A 20,273-nucleotide genomic window follows, 5' to 3' on the forward strand; every position below is an offset into this window, starting at 1 on the left:
TACCACTTATACTTCCTAGAGAGTTTAGGAGTGTGACGGTCACCAACAGGAGGTCTGGAGGTGGCAGGAGGCTCAGTCAGTGGGTGGGGAGCGAGACAGAAGGAGAAGCTTGGGGGTCAGGGTGTCACGGTGCCTAGATGTCATTTCTTAGGCTTTCCCGTGGGTTGTGGATGGTCTAAGGAAGCATGTGAGAAGTAGGTACTTATTACATGACTCTGATGTTGCCCAATAGGTTTGATCCTGATCAGCTGTGTGAGACGTATTGAGTTTTGAGTTTGTGCAGTGAGGAAAAAGTGGACTATCTTGCAAATGACCACAAATGAGGATAAGCTTTAACTAGGCCAACAGTGACAGGATGCTAATGGGTTTGAAACAACTTATGTCAGACCTAAAAATGGATGCTGAGGCAGCAGCTGTACCATATAAATACATATTTCATGTATTGTATGAGATATGTATTCAACCAAGACATATCTATACAATACCTCGTATTGTATGAGATATGATGGAGGTGTGATATTAGATCTGGCATGAGAAGGCAGGTTCATGAAGAAAAACAAGGGGGAATGTAAACTATAAATAAATAAAAATTAAAAAATATGGTAGTTTAGATCAAGTTAAAGAATATTTTAGAAAGTAGAAATATCAGATTGAGGAACTCTTCTAGAAGGCAGCAGAAAAGTAAAGAAATGAGAAATATGTATTTTTAACAAACTAAACCTGATGGAGTGGATGAATAGACAGAAATGTGATAGGGCATATATAGAAATGTTTAATTATAGAATCTAGATTAATAGCACATGTGTATACAATATGCAATGCTTTCAATAGTTTAATTGCAAATGTGCATAATAAATTTTGGAGAAGAAATGAAGAATATAATTGAGGAATTAAAGCCAATATCTAGGAAATAGGATTTTCTGTGAGATAATATATTTTAACAGACAGGAGAAAAAAATTGTTATCAAATAATGAAAATAATGTAGATAAATCATAAAATTTAATAAATATGTAGAAACTCAGATTAAAAGATAAAAATGAACAATAATGAAAAAGATAAATTTATAAAGCATCCTGAGAGACAGGAAAAAATAGCAAGCAAAGAACAATGTCAAATTCTCTACAGATACTTTAGATGTAAGAGGTCATTGGGGAAATATTTTTGGACAATAAAAAATTAATCTTATAATTTGATATAAAGGTAATTGTCATTTCAATGTGAGATAATAAAATTATTTTCAGGTAGAAAAAGCCTCAGAAAATTTGCCACACAAAGATATAGGACTTCGCCCTTTGTCTAAAGGCATTGGAAGTATCCTTGGGAGAAGTATCTAAATAAGGAGAGAGACACATACAGGAGATGCCATGGAGGTATGGTAAGGGTAATCAACTATCATGATGAAACATATTTTAATAATTTTCCAGATAATCAATTTCCATCGAATAGGCAATGGCTTTGAGTGACTCTCAGAATACTTGACTCCTAATGATTGCTCTATAAATACCTCTTTAGTGAAAGATTCAAAATAAAAATTTAAGAAAAGTATTAAAATTGTTCATGCAAGTCAAGCAAACCAATTGAAAGAGCTATTGATGGTGCCCGACTCTTAATAGGTATGCGGTAAGTATTGGTTGAATGACAGAATGATTGACAGGTCTCTTGAATTTATGAATGAATGTAATGAGTAATATTAAAACAAGGCAGTGCAGCATTCAGATCTAGGACATGGTATGAATGCAAAAGACACCTGAATGAGAGAGGGAGGCAACAGATGTGAATTACTCATCATGTTTAACTGTAGGTATAAAAACAGAGGAAAGACTAAACAGGTTTATGTAAAATTTAAAATTAATTAATATGAATATCTGACCAAACATCACTATTATTTTTAATTTAAAATATCTCCTAACCTGGGTAAAGCATATTGCACACAAAATTTGGCATTTATTTTATCACATTACTGATTTGTTTTCATGTATAATTCCATAGTATTTATGTCCCAGCATATGTTCATGTAGATGGTAGTTTTGTGAACATAAAGTTCACAGATACATCATTAATGTCAAAATTGCTGAAGAACAATAACAAACCCTATAAGGAAATAAGTATTGTGAAACCTCATCTTAAAAGTCCAAAAATATAAATAATCTGCTCAAAATATTTCAAATATAACTGGAGCCTGCCTCCCATCTCATTTTTGCCAGCCCAAATACTAAAACCTGTAAGCTTTTCTGCCCATGCACACACTAAAACAGCATGATATTTTAACATGATTTTAATACAGTTTTGACATTTAAACTTAAATAGATTAACAGCAGCAGAAACATACTTAATAGTTTAACCCACCACATTGGACTGTCATTAAAATAAGCAAAGACTAACCAGGAAATATAATAAGGGAACAGCAAAGAATGCCCAGCTCTGAGACTAACATCATTCTGCAATGTTCATCTCTATCCTAAAGTGCCCGGAAGAACAGAGTGGTAAATCATGTCATCCATATCTTGTACTTTTCCATGTACCTAATTTAAGCACAGGAAATTTAGAAATAGGAAAATCTTGCAAATTCACTTTTATTAGAAAAAATAATGTGAATAAGTTAGTAGCTTTATTAGCCCTAAGAAAATAAAAAACAAAATGATCCTGAGAGAGCTGGCAATATCCATCGTTTTCACAGGAGTTACCGACAGCTACTTTGTAATGAATTATCTTAGACAAATCATGTAATCTTTCAAAACCACCATAACCCTGCCTGAAGGATTTGTCCAGCCTCATTGTATTTCTTCAGCTCCCAGCTCTGTCTTCTTTAGTCTGTGAGCGAGTCTAGCCACCAAATCTCCAAGGAAGGTTTAACGGTGATTGTGAATTCACTATGCACCCAAATTTACCCACAGAAATCGAATGCAACAGATACAGCAGAGAAAACTTAGAAAAGCAGGTAACATTGCACTGCCATGTCATTAGCTCTGCATCAGAAATTTAATTTCTGGAAATATCAAGTTTGCTAAAACTTTGATTTATAGGGCTTATATTCATAATATCCCTATACTCATCAGGTAAATAAGAATAAACACTCATTTCAAGGTGATGAGTCATTTATAGACAAATCATTTGAGTGCTAAAGTTAAAGCAGAAACTTCCACTGTGGTAGAAGTTTCACTGTGGTGGCAGTTTGCTCAGGAAAGTCAAAAATAAACTACAAACAATATACAAATTTGATAGCATGATGTAAGTTTCGAAAAATCTCATTTGTAGTTGACCCAGAGGAAAGAAAATATTTCCCAGGTTTGGTTGAGGTGTTGCTTACAATAGAATAAGTGATAGTTTGTCTCATTCCTTATAAATTCATCATTTTCAAAGTTCAGACCTAAATCTCTAGATTCATCCCTGGTGGACATGTCCCTAAAGAGGATATATTCATTCCAATTGGTTTCTTCTCCTCCACTGCTACCATCCCAACCGGGCCTAACCCGCTATGTCTCTCAGCTGCTCATCCCAGGAGCTTTTTACTGAGGCTCCCTTATTCTCTTTTTGTACCTTTTATTCAATTCTCAACACAATCATCAGTGATTTCTTTTTCACAGGAGTCAGATCCTGCCATCCCTCTTTAACACTCTCCCGTGGCTTTTCATTTCCATCAGTGTAAGAGTGAAAGTCCCTAGAGTGACTCTAGAAAGATGAGTTTGTGAGGGCAATCAAGTTACACCTGTTTTCCAGCCAAAATTATTAATCCACCACCCTTTCACTCTTAAAAGTGTCCCTGGTTGGATGCTAGACTGTGTGGCCAGTCTCTCACGGGGCTCTCTATGACTTACCTCTTGTTCACCTTACCCCTCTGAGCTCATCATTGCAGCCATCCTATGCCTCTGCCCTCAGTAACACTCTCCTCTTTACTGTTTTTTAATCATGCTGGGGAAGACTTTTCACATTGCCTTCCATTTACTTTTTCCTGGGCCTGGAATACTCCTGCATCAGGTTTTTCATTAGATTCCTCTCCCAGCACTTTCAAGGCTTACCTAAATGCAGACTTCTCCATTAGCCTTCCCTTGCTTCCTATTTAAAACTGCAACCCGGTCCCCACTCCACTACTCCCTATATTTCTTCCTACAGTTTTTCTTCTCAACACTCATCAACATTTACATATCTGCCTACATGAGAACAAAAGGTCCCTGTGGAAAGATATATTGTTTTATTTGCTTATTGTGGTTTTCCTAGCATCTTATACATGGGAGATGCTCAATAAATACTTGCTGAATCAAAGAAGGAAGGAGTTGAATTAATGAATTGACGCATTGGGGATCCTATAATCCTTTGAATTCTACTTAGGGTTTCCTGATGTTTGTCCTTATCTGTGTGTTTCAGTATGCTCTAGACCAGTGTTTTTCACACTTACCTACTCAATTGCTCTAGCAGAAGTTTATAGGGACTCAACCACCACAGCAAAGTAAGAGTAGATCACTATGTTAGAAAAAGGGAAGCTTCTTTAAAATCTCATAGTTCATTGTAATTGTTATTCCAATTCTGCATTGTGCACCATTATAGTTACATGTTTACTATATACCCTGTTTTACATATCATTGGTTAAAATCCACATCCATGATGATGGACCCTGTTAATCCTGAACTTTGCATAATCCCTGACTATATGCTACAAACCACTGAAAGAAATCATGTCATTTTATTAAAAACAAAAACATAGATTAACTAGTTCTGATTTACAATGTTGTCCATGTTTTCCTAAACTTTCCATATCTGATATTATGCAGATTCTCTAAAGAAACTCTTACATATGCACCAGCAGAGAGGTACAACATATAGGTGTCATTGTTAGCGTAAATAATAACAAAATTTCTAAATATCTAATAAAAAGAAAGTTGATAAAAAGTGAGATATTCTCACAATGGAGCACTCTATATAATGGAAAATGAATTATTTGATTTATTGTATGATACGCAAAATTTTGGATGGAACAAAGTATGTTATGGATGAATATATGCAGAATACACTCAGTAAACTTGTATTGATTGCCTAACATATACCAAATGCTGGGAAGATAGCAGTGAACAAAGCAATTAAACGCTGCTCTCTTTGAATATAAAATTTTAGTAAGGGAAGATAATCAACAAATTAGGTCATTTGTGTAGATATTTAAAGGAGACAGGTGGTATAGAGAAAATAAGAGAATTTGATAATGGTTACATAGGGTGTGAAAGCAGAAGATCAAGAAAGATTAATGCAGCAGTTTTTGCCTGAGCCACTGGAAGGAAAAGGTTGTAATAAATATCTTGAAAAGACTGTGAAAGGAGCAGATTGAGAAGACATGACATCCAGTTTTGAATATATGCCTCTGTGTTATTTAAAATGTAACAATATTATTTTATACCCATGTTGCTTTCTGAATCTTAGGATGCATATCTGAAATCAATTTTGTAAAATTCACAACCATTAACTCTTTGATATTTGCCTCTCTCCTAGTTTCCCTTCTCTAATATTTTACAAACTCATTTGATCTATGTTGGGGTTTTAATTTCTAACCTGTAAACTTAACAATGTTGTTTTTATTTTAACTTCCTTATATTTCTATGCAGCTTTCTCTCAAATTTCTACTGATTTATCTTCCACTTAACTAACGCTTTCTTAAGCTACATTTAATCAGCTGTTAATAGTTCCATTGAGTTTATAAATGCATATACACATGCACACACACATTTCTAGTAGTTTTATTTTTTACATATGTACTTTTTCAAATTTTTACTTCTGCAATATGCTCATTTTTATTATTCAATATTTAATTCATTTTTAATTTTTAAATATTTTCTAACATGATTTTATATTTATAGTTTATATTATATATCTGATTATCCCACTATCTATAATGAAGGGTGATTATAATTCTATTGCATTTTTAAAATTTGTGATCAAGTGTTTTCTCTTAGCTGAATTTTTTATAATTATATATTCACATGCTGTTATAATAATACACAGAGCTTCCATGTACCCTTTACTCAGTTTCCCCCAATGGAAACATCTTACGACACTTTTGTATAATATTGCAACCTAGATATTGACATTAACACAACAAAGACACAAAGATTTTCATCACCCCACAGATTCTTCATGTTGCTCTTTTTTAGCCACATCCACTTTGCTTCCCTTATCTCTCCCTGAACAAGGCTAACCACTAATCTATTCTGTTTTTCTACAGTTTTCTCATTTTAACTATGTTATGTAAATGAAATCAAACAGTATATAATCTTTTGAGATTGGCTTTTTTTTTTTTTCACTCAGCATAATTGCATGGAAATTCATTCAAGTTGTTGTTAGGTATCAATTGTTTGCTTTTTTGTTGATGAATAGCATCTGATGATGTGGGTTGCCACAGTTTAACAATTGACCCATTGAAGGATACCAGGGTTCTTTCCAGGTTTTGGCTATTACAAATAAAGCTGTTATGACCACTTATATACAGATTTTTGAGTGAGCGTAAGTTCATATTTTTCTAATATAAATATCCAGCAGCACAATTTCTAGGTTATATATTTGTTTCATGTTTAGTTTTTTTAAGAAACTGCTTAACTATTTTTTCTGAGTATGATTAATTTACCTTATCACCAGCATTGTATGAGTTTTCCAGTTCCCCTCCAGAATTTGATATTATCACCATTTTTAAATTTTTACACATTCTGATATGTCTTATTGTGGCTTTAATTTGCATTTCCCAAATGGCTAATGAAGTTTAATACTTTACATGTGCTTATTGTCATCTGTATACCTTCTTCAGTGAAATCTCCATTTATATTTTGACTGTTTTAATTGAAATGCATTTGTTTTAGTGTTCTTGTTGAGTTTTGAGAATTCCTGATACACATTGCAGATACTGATCCTTTGTCATATATGTGTGTGAAAATATTTTCTCTCAGCCTATGGTATGTCTTTTCACCCTTGTGATAGGGTCACTTTCAGAGAAAAAATGTTTAATTTACATAAGGTTATTAATTTTCCTTTTAATGATAATGCTTTTAATGTCATGTCTAACACCACTTTGCTTAGCCTTAATATCAAATATGTTCTAAAAGTTTTGTAGTTTCAATTTTGCGCTTATTTCCATGGTCCTGTTGAGCAGGTTTTCATGTGAAGTAAGGGCTTCAGTCTGGGCTCATTTTTCACTTTCCTATGGGTGTCCAGTTGCGCCAACAGCATTTGTTGGAAAGGCAACCCATACGTGAACTGCGTTTGCATCATTGTCAAAAATCAGTTTGTCTATTCCAGGCCTCCCTAGCTGATCAAGTGCCTTTTCATATTTGTGGAAATAACTTTGTCCTTATGTCAGTGACCTTACTCTGTAGAGACAGTGAGGAGCTTGGTTTGAGGAAGCTTTCCTCCTGAGACAGTTTTATCTTAGCAGAGCAGAAGGCTAGCAATATGAGACAAAATTAATCTAATCGATTTTATTGGATGTTTTATTTTTTATACATTATCTTTCTTTAGCTGAAGTTAAGCTATTATTCTCAACCAAGCCTACCCTGAGTGGGAAGACAGGCAGCCAGCTTCCTACGTAAGTTATCGGACTTGCCAAATGGTAATTATTATCTTAAGATTACACATTTACTCAGTGTACATCTATTGATCTACACTTTGTGTCAGTGCCTACTGAAGCAGGATATTTCCCTGACCCCTTCATGAGACTCATGACAGGGGTGCCTCCTTTGCCCAGCCTGCAGTTTTCAACTCCTGAAGGGAGGGAGCCTGCGAGCAAACAAGGTGACAACTGGAGTGCAGGAGCACTGGAACCAGCCACTTCAGCACTGGCAGGTGCTAACTCCACCCATTCAGACCTCCTGTGCTCCACCCCTCGCAGGAAAGAGCCTGTGGGTGACAGGGTGCAGGAGCCAGGACGAGAGCACTTTTGGGAGCCAGCAGGAGCAAACTGTGTGCAGGCACCGAGGCAGCATCTGGGGGTGGGGGTTGCCCATGGCCCCCAAAGCCCCAGAGAGAGTGTTTCAGTGTTCTTTTATCTCTGCCATCCATGAACAGCTAAAGTGTTAACAGTTCAGTGGGCCCTTTGCCTTTTCGTGTGAAGTGGTTGCCTTCCACCAGTGAGGGTGAAGGACAAGTGTGGCAAGTGTGGCAGCCTTTTGTGTCCACACGAGTGGCACCTGAGCACTTGTCCGGTGTCCGGGAGAAATGAGGTTGCTCAAACAAATTGAAGCATGGTAAATGTGGGGAATTTCAGTTATAATTGATAACTGAAATCAGGAGCTCGTGGAGAAAAGCTATTGAAATGGAAGAAAACAGAACTAAAGAACCAATTCAAATGGATGCTGAACATAGAGAAGTATTGCCAGAATCATTACCTGTGTTGCACAATCAAAGAGAATTTAGCATGGCTGATTTTCTCTTAGAAACCACTCTATCAGATTTTGGCCAGTCTCATTCGACTGAAGAGAAAGTTATTTCAGATTGCGAGTGTGTGCCTCAGAAACGTGCTGACCAGTCACATAGATGAACCACCAACACAAAATCAGTCAGATTTGTTAAATAAGAAAGTAATTTGCAAGCAAGATTTGGAATGTTTAGCCTTCACCAAGCTTTCAGAAACTAGCCGAATGGAGACATTCTCCCCTGCTGTCGGCAATAGGATAGATGTGATGGGTGGCAGTGAAGAGGAGTTTATGAAAATATTGGACCACTTAGAAGTTTCTTGTAACAAACCTTCCACAAATAAAACTATGTTGTGGAATTCTTTTCAGATATCAAGTGGAATTAGTTCTAAGAGTTTTAAAGATAATGATTTTGGCATATTACACGAAACTCTTCCGGAAGAAGTTGGTCACCTAAGTTTTAATAGTTCCAGTAGTTCAGAGGCCAATTTTAAACTGCAGCCAAATAGTCCTATGCATGGTGGCACTCTTCTAGAAGATGTTGTGGGAGGGAGACAGACTACTCCAGAATCAGACTTTAATTTACAGGCTCTTTGCAGTAGATACGAGGCTCTGAAGAAACCTCTTTCCAAGAAAAGGGAAGAATCTTAACTCTCGAATTCCCAAACACCTGAAAGACACAAACCAGAATTGAGCCCTACTCCCCAAAATGTACAAACAGATGATACGCTTAACTTTTTGGACACCCGTGATTTGCATACTGAGCATATAAAGCCATCTTTACGCATGTCCATCGGTGAAAGAAAACGGTCTCTTTCACCACTAATTAAGTTTTCTCCAGTGGAACAAAGATTGAGAACCACAATAGCATGTAGTCTTGGAGAACTACCTAATTTAAAAGAAGAAGACATTTTGAATAAGAGCCTTGATGCAAAAGAACCACCGTCTGACTTGACAAGATGAAGACGTACCCATTTAATATAACTATGATGCACTTAAATTGAAGCTATGCCACAGGATAGAAACTGAATTATAACTTAAATACATGTTGGAAGTGTAACACTGTTTTTCAAGGTTTAAAAAAATTCCTAATGCCTTTTAGCCTTCTTTAATATTTTTAGGTAAGGAAAGTATGTTTGGATTTTTTCTCTTTGTAGGTATATGAGATTGAAACGTGAAGTATTTGGAAAACAAACGTCAAGCAATGGGAAGCCATTTTGATTTCTTGAGTAATCTTGTAAGCATTAAGTGAATGACAAAGTAGTAGTGTGACTAATTTCTTATGTTATAACTTCAGTCAATTAATGTAAGGATAAGTAGTTTTTGTTGTATGTTCACTAAGTGGTTAATATAATAGCCATTGAATATATTAATCTTTCATCTTAGAGAATTATACAACTTTTATTGTTCCTTTTTTTTTTTTTTTTTTTTTTTTTTGAGACGGAGTCTCGCTCTGTCGCCCAGGCCGGACTGCGGACTGCAGTGGCGCAATCTCGGCTCACTGCAAGGTCCGCTTCCCGGGTTCACGCCATTCTCCTGCCTCAGCCTCCCGAGTAGCTGGGACTACAGGCGCCCGCCACCGCGCCCGGCTAATTTTTTGTATTTTTAGTAGAGACGGGGTTTCACCTTGTTAGCCAGGATGGTCTCGATCTCCTGACCTCATGATCCACCCACCTCGGCCTCCCAAAGTGCTGGGATTACAGGCGTGAGCCACCGCGCCCGGCCCTTTTATTGTTTCTTAATGGAACATTCTGGCTAACCAGAAAAACGGAGAAAAGTAGTACCGTGAGATGTGTAGTCAAGATGACAAATTTTAAGACTGGAAAAGCTCTAAACAGGCTTAATGATTCTTCAAGTAGAATGATCCTGAGAAGTGATGTTTGATGGAATAAAGTGCATGTGATGATTAAGTGAAGACTGGGGCAGAATTATTTAAAAAAAGGAAAAAGATGGAAGATGAGTAGACACTTGCAAGGAACACTGTCAAACTATAAATCCATTCAGTGGGTTGTATAACATTTATATTTAGTCTAATTTAGACTTTGATAATTTAATGCTACTTTTATATTTTAACAAAAATATAAATTAAAATTTTCATTAGTCTGTTTTGTTGTTGGGGTTTTTTGTGAGGTACTCCCTGTTGGGGGAAAGGAACAAGGAACAACCATCAAAATTCCCCAGTCCCTACAGAATAGCCTCACAGTAACTTGAGAAAACTGAACTTGGGGTTAAATAACTTGTCACACTTGCAGTCTCCTGCCTCACTCCTTCAGGTTTCCTGCCTAGAAAAAGACTTGTGTCTAGCATCCAGCTGAACACATACTATTGCCCTCTGTGAACCAGGAGGAATGGAACAGGCAATGGAAGGGTGATAGTACCTACAATACCCTTTGTAGACCCCATCTCACTACCATCAAAATCTTGTCCACTAGCCCCCAAAAAACTGGCAAGGAAAGAAGGTGGAGGGGAAATTTATGGAAGTAGATGGCTTAATAGTTATTTCTTTTCATTTATCTTGGGCTGCCTTTCTCTAAGTTGTTTGTCCTGTCCCAGTGTGAAGACCCATCTTTTTGTGAGAAAAGACAAAAGAAAGCACATGTAACTACCTTCTTTGCAATGGAAAAGGAGAAAGAAAAAATCTTCTCCTAAGTTGCTGTTTTATTTTATTAGTTAATAAAACAAATCAGGGACTACGCAGGTCTATGGGGAAAGCTTTAGTCTGCTTTAAGAAAACTCAGTATCTGAAAATCTTAACTTAGCATGTGATGCTGTCATATCAGCATCTGCAGAAGTGCCAAAGCCACTGCTAGACACTTAATGTGTATTATTTCATTTAATTATATGTTAAATGTGCTTCCCTGGTAATTCTTAAGCTCGAGAAAGAGTTTGAGAACTGCTGCTAGGAAATAGAGATTCACATTTAACCCTGTGGTACTTTTAAGAAGCAGGTACATTGTTGCATATATACTTGGGTAGAGATTGGTAACTATCTGACAGGGAAGCTCAAGTTGGCCACTCAAGTCTGGGAAACCCTTAATTACTGAGAATCAAAAGAGCAGAATGTCTGTAGACATTTTGGATTTGTAAAACTCACATTGTTGAGTTATACCTGTGATGGGCTGAAAGTTTTTGATTCTTTCCTGTTCTTCATATGCCAGTACCATAAACAAAAAGTATCTCAGATCTGTCACTTTCTTCTCCTAAACCAATGTGATTGCAGCTTTTTGCCTTCAGCCTTTTCCCTATCCAATATCTCCTACATAGTTACCTTTTGATCCTAAGGAACTGTTTCGATTGGGTCACTTCCTTGCCTAAAATTCCATTGATTGTTCATTGTTAATTCTAAAATAGAGTTCAAATTTAAAGGCATGTAAGTTCCCCTATAATGGATTTCCTCTACTCCCCCTTCCGCTGTAATCTCCCATTTTTTTACTGAAATGCTTCAGTTAGCATGAGTCTTTAGAGGTCTTGATTTACAATTTTCCTGAAGCAGGAATACCTTGCTTTCCTCTACTAGTTTACCACAATTACAGCTCTCTTTTAAGCCTCAGAAAAAAATCTCACTTCCATCTTGAAGTCTTAATCCATGCTTTTTATATCCATGTGCCTACTCCTTCTCTGAAATCTCCTATGGTTTATCTTTTTATTCATTTAATATCCCACGAATTGATTTTATTATATATTTTTTATGGTTGCATGTGGTCTTTCTAGTTATAGCAATATACACATACATGCATAAATACATATACACCTATGTAAATGTGTGTTGGGAGTATGTATTCACACACATACATATACCCCAAGGCCATGTGTCATCTTTATCAATATTTAAGTTTTGGAATTGTTTTGTTTGCCTCCTATATCATAGAATAAATGGTAAAGAGGGCTAATTTATTACTCTAAGTGTATTTCTTATTATATTAATATCAGACATTATATAGAATGTACTTTGTTTTACTCACTATTTGTAAGATACAAAGGTATATAAACTGACTTATACATCAGCTTGAAACCTGAGATAATGCTAAAATGTTCTAAGTATTTTAAATGTTTAAAGAGGACAATCATGTAATGTTGCTAAACATGAAAAATGTCATCAAGTGGAATAAAGAATAGCTGAAGTTAACATTTGGGGGAAATTGAACTGAAAACAAAAATATGAGTATTTTGATATCTTTTCTTTACCATGAGTCTCTTGACTATGAAGTCAAATTTATCTAAAGGAAAAACAGGAATTCTGGAGACCTGTGTAAAAGCAGACTATTATCTTCCTACTGTGAGTGTACTAAAATTAAAATACGTTTAATGACGTTTTCCTCAATGTAAAAGTATTGAAGTAAATGTTTCTTTTATGTTGCAGATACATAGTTGCTCTAGAGATCACCTTTTTCTTTATGCATCGTGAATAGCAGTCTGCATCCTAAGTTTAAAATATTTGAGAATCCTCTATGGGACTCTCTGTAAATGTCTTAAATACTGTTGTTTTCAATAAATATTTTATACTAAAAAAAAAAAAAAGATTTCTTCCAGAGATGCAAGATTGGTTCACATTTGAAAATCAATTAAAGTCATGTATCATATTAACAAGCTATAGGATAAAAATCACATAATTGTGTTAATTGATGCAAAATGAATTTTGCAAAATTCAATATCCATTTATAATTTTTGAAAAATCATTTTTGGAGATTAAAAATGGAGGGGAACTTCTTATTCTGATAAAAAGCATATACAGGCCGGGCATTATGACTCACGCCTATAGTCCCAGCACTTTGGGAGACCGAGGTGGGTGGATCACTTGAGATCAGGAGTTAGAGACCAGCCTAGACAACATGGCCAAACCCTGTCTCTACTAAAAAGACAAAAATTATCTGAGCATGGTGGCACACACCTGTAGTCCCATCTACTTGGGAGACTGAAGCACAAGAATCACTTGAACCCGGGAGGTGGAGGTTGCAGTGAGCCGAGATCGTGCCACTCTCTCCAGCCTGGGCGACAGAGCAAGACTCCATCTCAACAAAAAACAAACAAACAAACAAACAAAAATATATATATATAACTTACAGCTAACTTTATACTTAATGGTGAAAGACTGAATGCATTTCTGTAATATTGAGAAGAAAATAAGGATGCCTGCTCCACCACTTTTATTCAACATAGCACTGACAGTTCTTGCCAGTGCAATAAAGAAAAATAAGAAAATAAAGTTCCACAAATTGGAAAGGAAAACACGATTGTCCCTATTTTCAGACGTCATGTTTGTTTTTGTAGAAAACGAAAGAAATCTACAAAAAAAAATCCTAGAAAAAGCTAAGTTCAACAGCTTCTAGGATACAAAATAAAGATATAAAAATCAGTTGCTTTTCTATACACTGTCAATCGGTGTATGGACACAGAAATGAAAAACATGATACCATTTCAAATCACTCAAAAATAAAATGCCTGGATATAAATCTAAGAAAACGTGCAGGTATTACGTGTTAAAAACTATAAAAATGAAAAAGGTCAAAGATAATCTAATTAAATGAAAAAAATATATCATGTTCATATAGTAAAGATGTCAATTCAACCCAAGTTGATACACAGGTTTAAAGAAATTTCTATCAAATGGCAGAAAGATTGTCCCTAAAGACAAGATGATTCTAACATTTATGTGGAAACGCAGAGGAACAATATCTTAAACATTTTTTAAAAAGAATAAAGTAGGAGGAGGGGCCAGGCACAGGTGGCTCACACCTGCAATCCTAGCACTTTGGGAGGCTGAGGCGGGCAGATCACGAGGTCAGGAGATCAAGACCATTCTGGCTAACACCTGGTGAAACTCTGTCTCTTCTAAAAATACTAATAAAAATACAAAAAATTAGCCAGGCATAGTGGCGGGGGCCTGTAGTCCCAGCTACTCCAGAGGCTGAGGCAGGAGAATGGCCTGAACCCGGGGGGCGGAGCTTGCAGTGAGCCGAGATTGCGCCATTGAACTCCAGCCTGGGCAACAGTGAGACTCTTCATCAAAAACAATAAATAAATAAAATAAAATAAAGTAAGAGGAGTCACCTACTGGGTTTCAAGACCTACTGTATAACTACACAATCAAGATTGTGTGATATTTAGAGGAATAGACACTAGGTCAATGGAAGAGACTAGAGGACCTATAAATAGACACACTAAAGTATGTCTAACTGATTTTTGACTAGGGTGCAAAAGCAAATGAATGGAATAAGGATAGCCTTTTCAAAAACGGTGCCCAACATGGTGAAACCCTGTCTCTACTAAAAATACAAAAATTAGCTGGGCATGGTGGCACATGCCTGTAATCCCAGCTACTCGGAAGGCTGGGGCAGGAAAATCACTTAAACCCCAGAGCCGGAGGTTGCAGTGAGCCGAGACCGCGGCACTGCACTGCAGCCTGGGCAACAGAGAAAGACTCCATCTCAAAAAAAAAAAAATGATGCTAAACCAATTAGACATCCATAAGCAAAAAAGGAAACTTGACCTGAACCTTACGCTCTATACAAAAATTAAATTAAAATTTATCATGTGTTTAAATTCATCCTGTATTTAAAGAAAAAAAGCTTAATTTTTAATACACTTGGGAACAAAAAATATTCGATAAAATCTTTAGTATCTGGAACTAGGCAAATAGTTCATAGAACTGACGCCAGAAGTATGAATGATAAAAAGAAAAATGGATAAGTTGGAACTCTTATTTTAAATTTAGGTTTTGCAAAATGCAAAATAGAAGATAAAAATGAAAACTATAGACTGGGAGAAACTATTTGTAAACCACCTATATGACAAATGACTAGTACCTAAAATATATAAAAAACCTCAAAACTCAAGAGTGAAACAATAAAATCACAAAATGAACCAAAGTCATGATCAGATATTTCATTAAAGAGGACATAGAGATAGCAAATAATCACAAGAAAAAATATTAGACATCATTCACCATTAAAGAAATGCAAATTAAAAATCACAAAGTGATATCACTCTAAATGTCAGGATGGCTAAAATAAATAATAGTGGCAACACCAAATGCTGGCAATAATGCGAAGAAACCAAGTCACTTTCACATTGCTGGTGGGAATAAAAGATGGTACTGGGAAACATTTTTGCAGTTTCTTATAAAACTGAACACGTAACAACCATATGTTCTAGCAACTTCACTCCTGGGCAGTTGTTACAGACAAATGAAAACTTAAATTCACCCAACTTTTTGTGTGATGTTCACAACTTTTTTGGCAATAACCAAATACTGAAAACAATCTAAATGTCCATAAACTGGTGAATGGTTAAACAGATGATGTTCACTCATACAATGAAATACTATTGAGCAATACAAGGTAACAAATGATATATGCAACCTTAATCAATCACTAAAAAATCATGCAGAGTGAAAAAAGCCAATCACAAAATGTCAGATACTGAATGTTTCCATTTATATAACATTCCTGAAATGTAAAATCTATAGAGAATAGAGAACATGAGTGTTTGCCCAGGGTCAGAGATGGGATGGAGAAAATGAGGTGGGTAGGACTCTAGACAGGTAACATGAGGGACCCTCTGGTGATGGAAATGAGCTATCTTGTCACTGTCAATATAAATATCACCATGTTACTGTAATACACTTTTGCAAGATACTACTAATAGAAGAAAATGAGTAAATAGTACATGGTATCTCTCTGTATTATTTCTTACAATTACTTGAAAATCTTTAACACCCCAAGAGATTACACTAGATCCCAAGCAATGGATCCAAACTAAGATAAAATCTTTGAAATACCAGATGAAGAATTCAGAAATTTGATTATTATGCTACTCAAGGAGATACCAGAGAAAGATGAAAACCAACAAAAAGAAATTAAAAAAAAAATTTCCGGAGAGATAGATATCCTAAAGTAAAACAAATCAGAACTTCTGGAAATAAAAGATACACTTAGGTAAAAACAAAATGCAGTGGAAAGTGTCAACAATACACTAGAACAAGTAGAAGAAAGAATTTCAGAGCCTGAAGACAAGGCTTTCAAATTAACCCAATCAGACAAAGATAAAGAAAAAAGAATCAAAAGAAATGAATACTGTCTCCAAGAAATATGGGATTGTGTAAAATGGCCAAACCTAATAATAATTAGTGTTCCTGATGGAGAAGAGAAGGCTAAATTTGGAAAACTTATTTGAAGGAATAATTGAGGAAAACTTCCCTAGCCTTACTAGAGATTTAGATATCCAAATACAAGAAGCTCAAAGAACTCTTGAGAAATTCATTGTAAAAATATCATCACCATGGCACATAGTCATTTGGCTATCTAAGTCAACATGAGGGAAATAATTCTAAGACCTGTGAGATAAAAGCATCAAGTAACCTATAAAGGAAAACCTCTCAGACTAACAATAGACTTCTCAGCAGAAACCTTACATGTTAGAAGGGATTGGGGTCCTATCTTTAGCCTCCTTAAACAGAATAATTGTCAGCCAAGAATTCTGCATCCAGAAAAACTAAGTTTCATAGATAAAGGAGAAATATACTTTTTCAGACAAACAAATGCTGAGAGAATTTACCACCACCAAATCAGCATTACAGGAAATGCTAAAAGGAGTTCTAAATCTTGAAACAAAAGCTTGATATGCACCAAAATAGAATCCCCTGAAAGCAAAATCTCACAGCACCTATAAAACAATAGCACAGTGAAAAAGAAAACAATATATCTATGTAACAACTAGTATGAATACAACAGCACCTCACATTTCAAAATTAATATTGAATGTGAATGGCCTAATTATCCATTTAAAAGATACAGAATGGCAGAACTGATAGAAAAAAAAAACCATCTAAACATGTGGTGTCTTTAAGAGACTCACCTAATACATAAGGATTCATATAGACTCAAGGTAAAGGGGTGGAAAAAGATATTCCAACAAATGGAAACCAAAAGCAAGCAGGAGTAGCTATTCTTATACCAGAATAAACAGACTTTAAAGCAACAGCAGTTAAAAAAAAAAAGACAAAGAATGACATTGTATAATGATACAAGAATCAGTCCTACAAGATTATAACCCTAAATTTATATGCACCTAACACAGGGCTCCCAGATTTATAAAACAATTACTTCTAGATCTCAGAAATGAGATAGCAATATAATAATAGTGGGGGACTTTAATATTCCATGACAGCACTACACAGATCATCAAGACAGAAAGTCAACAAAGAAACAACGGACTTAAACTACATTATAGATCAAATGAACTTACCCAATAAATACAGAAGATTCTTTCCAAGAACTGGAGAATGTGCATTCTTCTGACCAGCACATGGAACATTCTCCAAGATGGACCATATGATAGGACACAAAACAAGTCTCAGTAAATTTAAGAAAATTGAAATCATATCAACTATTTTCTCAAAACACAGTGGAATAAAACTGGAAATCAACTCCAAAAAGAATCCTCAAAACTATACAAATACATGAAAATTAAATAATGTGCTCTTGAATTATTTTGGGGTTAACAATGAAATCAAGATGGATATTAAAATTGCTTTGAAATGAATGATAATAATGAAACAAGTTATCAAAACCTCTGGGACACAGCGAAAGCAGAAGAGAAAAATTCACAGCATTAAGTGACTACATCAAAAAGTCTGAAAGAGCACAAACTGACAACCTAATGTCACACCTTGAAGAACTAGAGAAACAAGAACAAACTAAACCCACAACCAGCAGAAGAAAATAAATAACAGATCAGAGCAAAATTAAATGAAATTGAAACAAAAAGCTGGTTATTTGAAAAGATTAACAAAATTGATAGATTATTAGCAAAATTTATCAAGAAAAGAAGAGAGAAGATCTAAATAAGCTCAATTAGAAATGAAACTGGAGATACCACAGCTGATACCACAGAAATACAAAAGATCATTCAAAGATACTATGAACACCTTTATATGCACAAACTAGAAAATCTAGAGGAAATGGATAAATTCCTGGAAACATACAACCTTCCTAGGTTAAATCAGGAAGAAATAGCAACCCTGAACAGACCAATAACAAGAAGCATGAATCAGTAATGAAAACACTGCCAACAAAAATAGGTCCAGGACGAGATGGTTTCACAGCTAAATTCTACCAGACATTCAAAAAAGAATTAGTACCAATCCTACTAATCCTATTCCAAAAAATTGAGAAAGAGGAAATCCTCCTTATGTCATTCTATGAAGCCAGTACCACCCTAATACCAAAACCAGGAAAGGGCAAAACAACAAAAACAACAAAACTATAAGCCAATATCCTTGATTAACATAAACACAAAAATTCTCAATACAATACTAGTTAACTGAATCCAACAGCAAATCAAAAAGATAATATACATAATGATCAAGAGGGCTTCATCCCAGTGATGCAGGGATGATTTAACATAAAGAACTCAATAAATGTGATACATCACATAAACAGAATTAAAAACAAAACCATATAATCATATCAATAGACACAGAAAAATAATTTGGTAAAATCCAGCATCCCTTTAAGGCAAAACCCTCAATAAAATAGGCGTAGAAGGAATACACCTCAAAGTAATAAAAGCCATATATGACAAACCCACAGCCAATATCATCATGAATGGGGAAGAGTTTAAAGTATCCCTCCTGAGAACTGGAACAAGATGAGGATGCCAGCTTTCACCCCTTCAATGTAATGTACTACTGAAGTCATAACCAGAGTAATCAGGCAAGAGAAAGAAATAAAAGACATCCAAATTGGAAAAGAGGAAGTCAAACTATCACTGTTAATGGATGATATTACTGTATAACTAGAGAACCCTAAAGATTCATTTAAAAGGCTCCTAAATTTGACAAATGGATTCAGTAAAGTCTCAGGTTACAAAACTAATGTACACCATCAGTAGCACTGCTATACACCAGCAATGACCAAGCTGAGAATTAAATCAAGAACTCAATCCATTTTATAGCAGCTGCAAAAAGTATAAAATACTTAGGAATAATTTTACCAACAAGGTGAAAGATATCTACAAGGAAATCTACAAAACACTACTGAAAGAAATCATAGATGACACAAACAAATGGAAACACATCATACTGTGCTCCCAGATGAGAAGACTCAATATAGTGAAAATGACCATACCACCCAAAGTAATCTACCAATCCAATGTAATTTTCATAAAAATACCATCATCTTTTTTCACGGAACTACAAAAAAATCCTAAAATTCATATATGGAACCAAAAAAGAGCTTGTATAGTCAAAACAAAGCAAAAAAACAAATCTGGAGGCATCACATTACCAGACTTCAAATTATACTACAAGGCTATAGTTACCAAAGAAACATGATATGGCATAAATATAGGCACTTAGACCAATGGAACAGAAGAGAGAACCCAGAAATAAAGCCAAATACTAACAGTCAACTGATATTAAACACAGCATACAAAACCATAAACTGGGAAAATGACACCCTATTCAATAAATGGTGCTGGGATAATTGGCAAATCACATGCAGAAGAATGAAACTGGATCCCCTTCTCTCATCTTATAAAAAAATCAACTCAATATGGATCAAATATTTAAATCTAAGACCTGAAACCACAAAAATTCTAAAAAATAACATTGGAAAAACTCTTCTGGACGTTGACTTAGGCAAATAATTCGTGACAAAGACCCCATAAGCAAACACAACAAAAACAAAGTAAATAAATGGGACCTAATTTGTCTAAAAAAGCTTCTGCATAGCAAAACAAATAATCAGCAGAGTAAACAGACAACTCATAGAGTAGGAGAAAATATTCACAAACTATGCATCCGACAAAGGACTAGTATCCAGAATCTACAAGAAACTCAAACAAATCAGCAAGAAAAAAATAATAATCCCATCAAAAAGCAGGTAAAGGGCA

The 20,273-nt window shown here is 35.2% G+C and overlaps 1 pseudogene; it reads left to right on the top strand.

Moving 5' to 3' along the window:
- On the top strand, positions 8,240–12,886 carry HAUS6P3 (HAUS augmin like complex subunit 6 pseudogene 3; annotated as a pseudogene).

The sequence above is a fragment of the Homo sapiens genome, chromosome 7, assembly GCF_000001405.40.
Source record: "Homo sapiens chromosome 7, GRCh38.p14 Primary Assembly".
Lineage (NCBI taxonomy): Eukaryota > Metazoa > Chordata > Mammalia > Primates > Hominidae > Homo > Homo sapiens.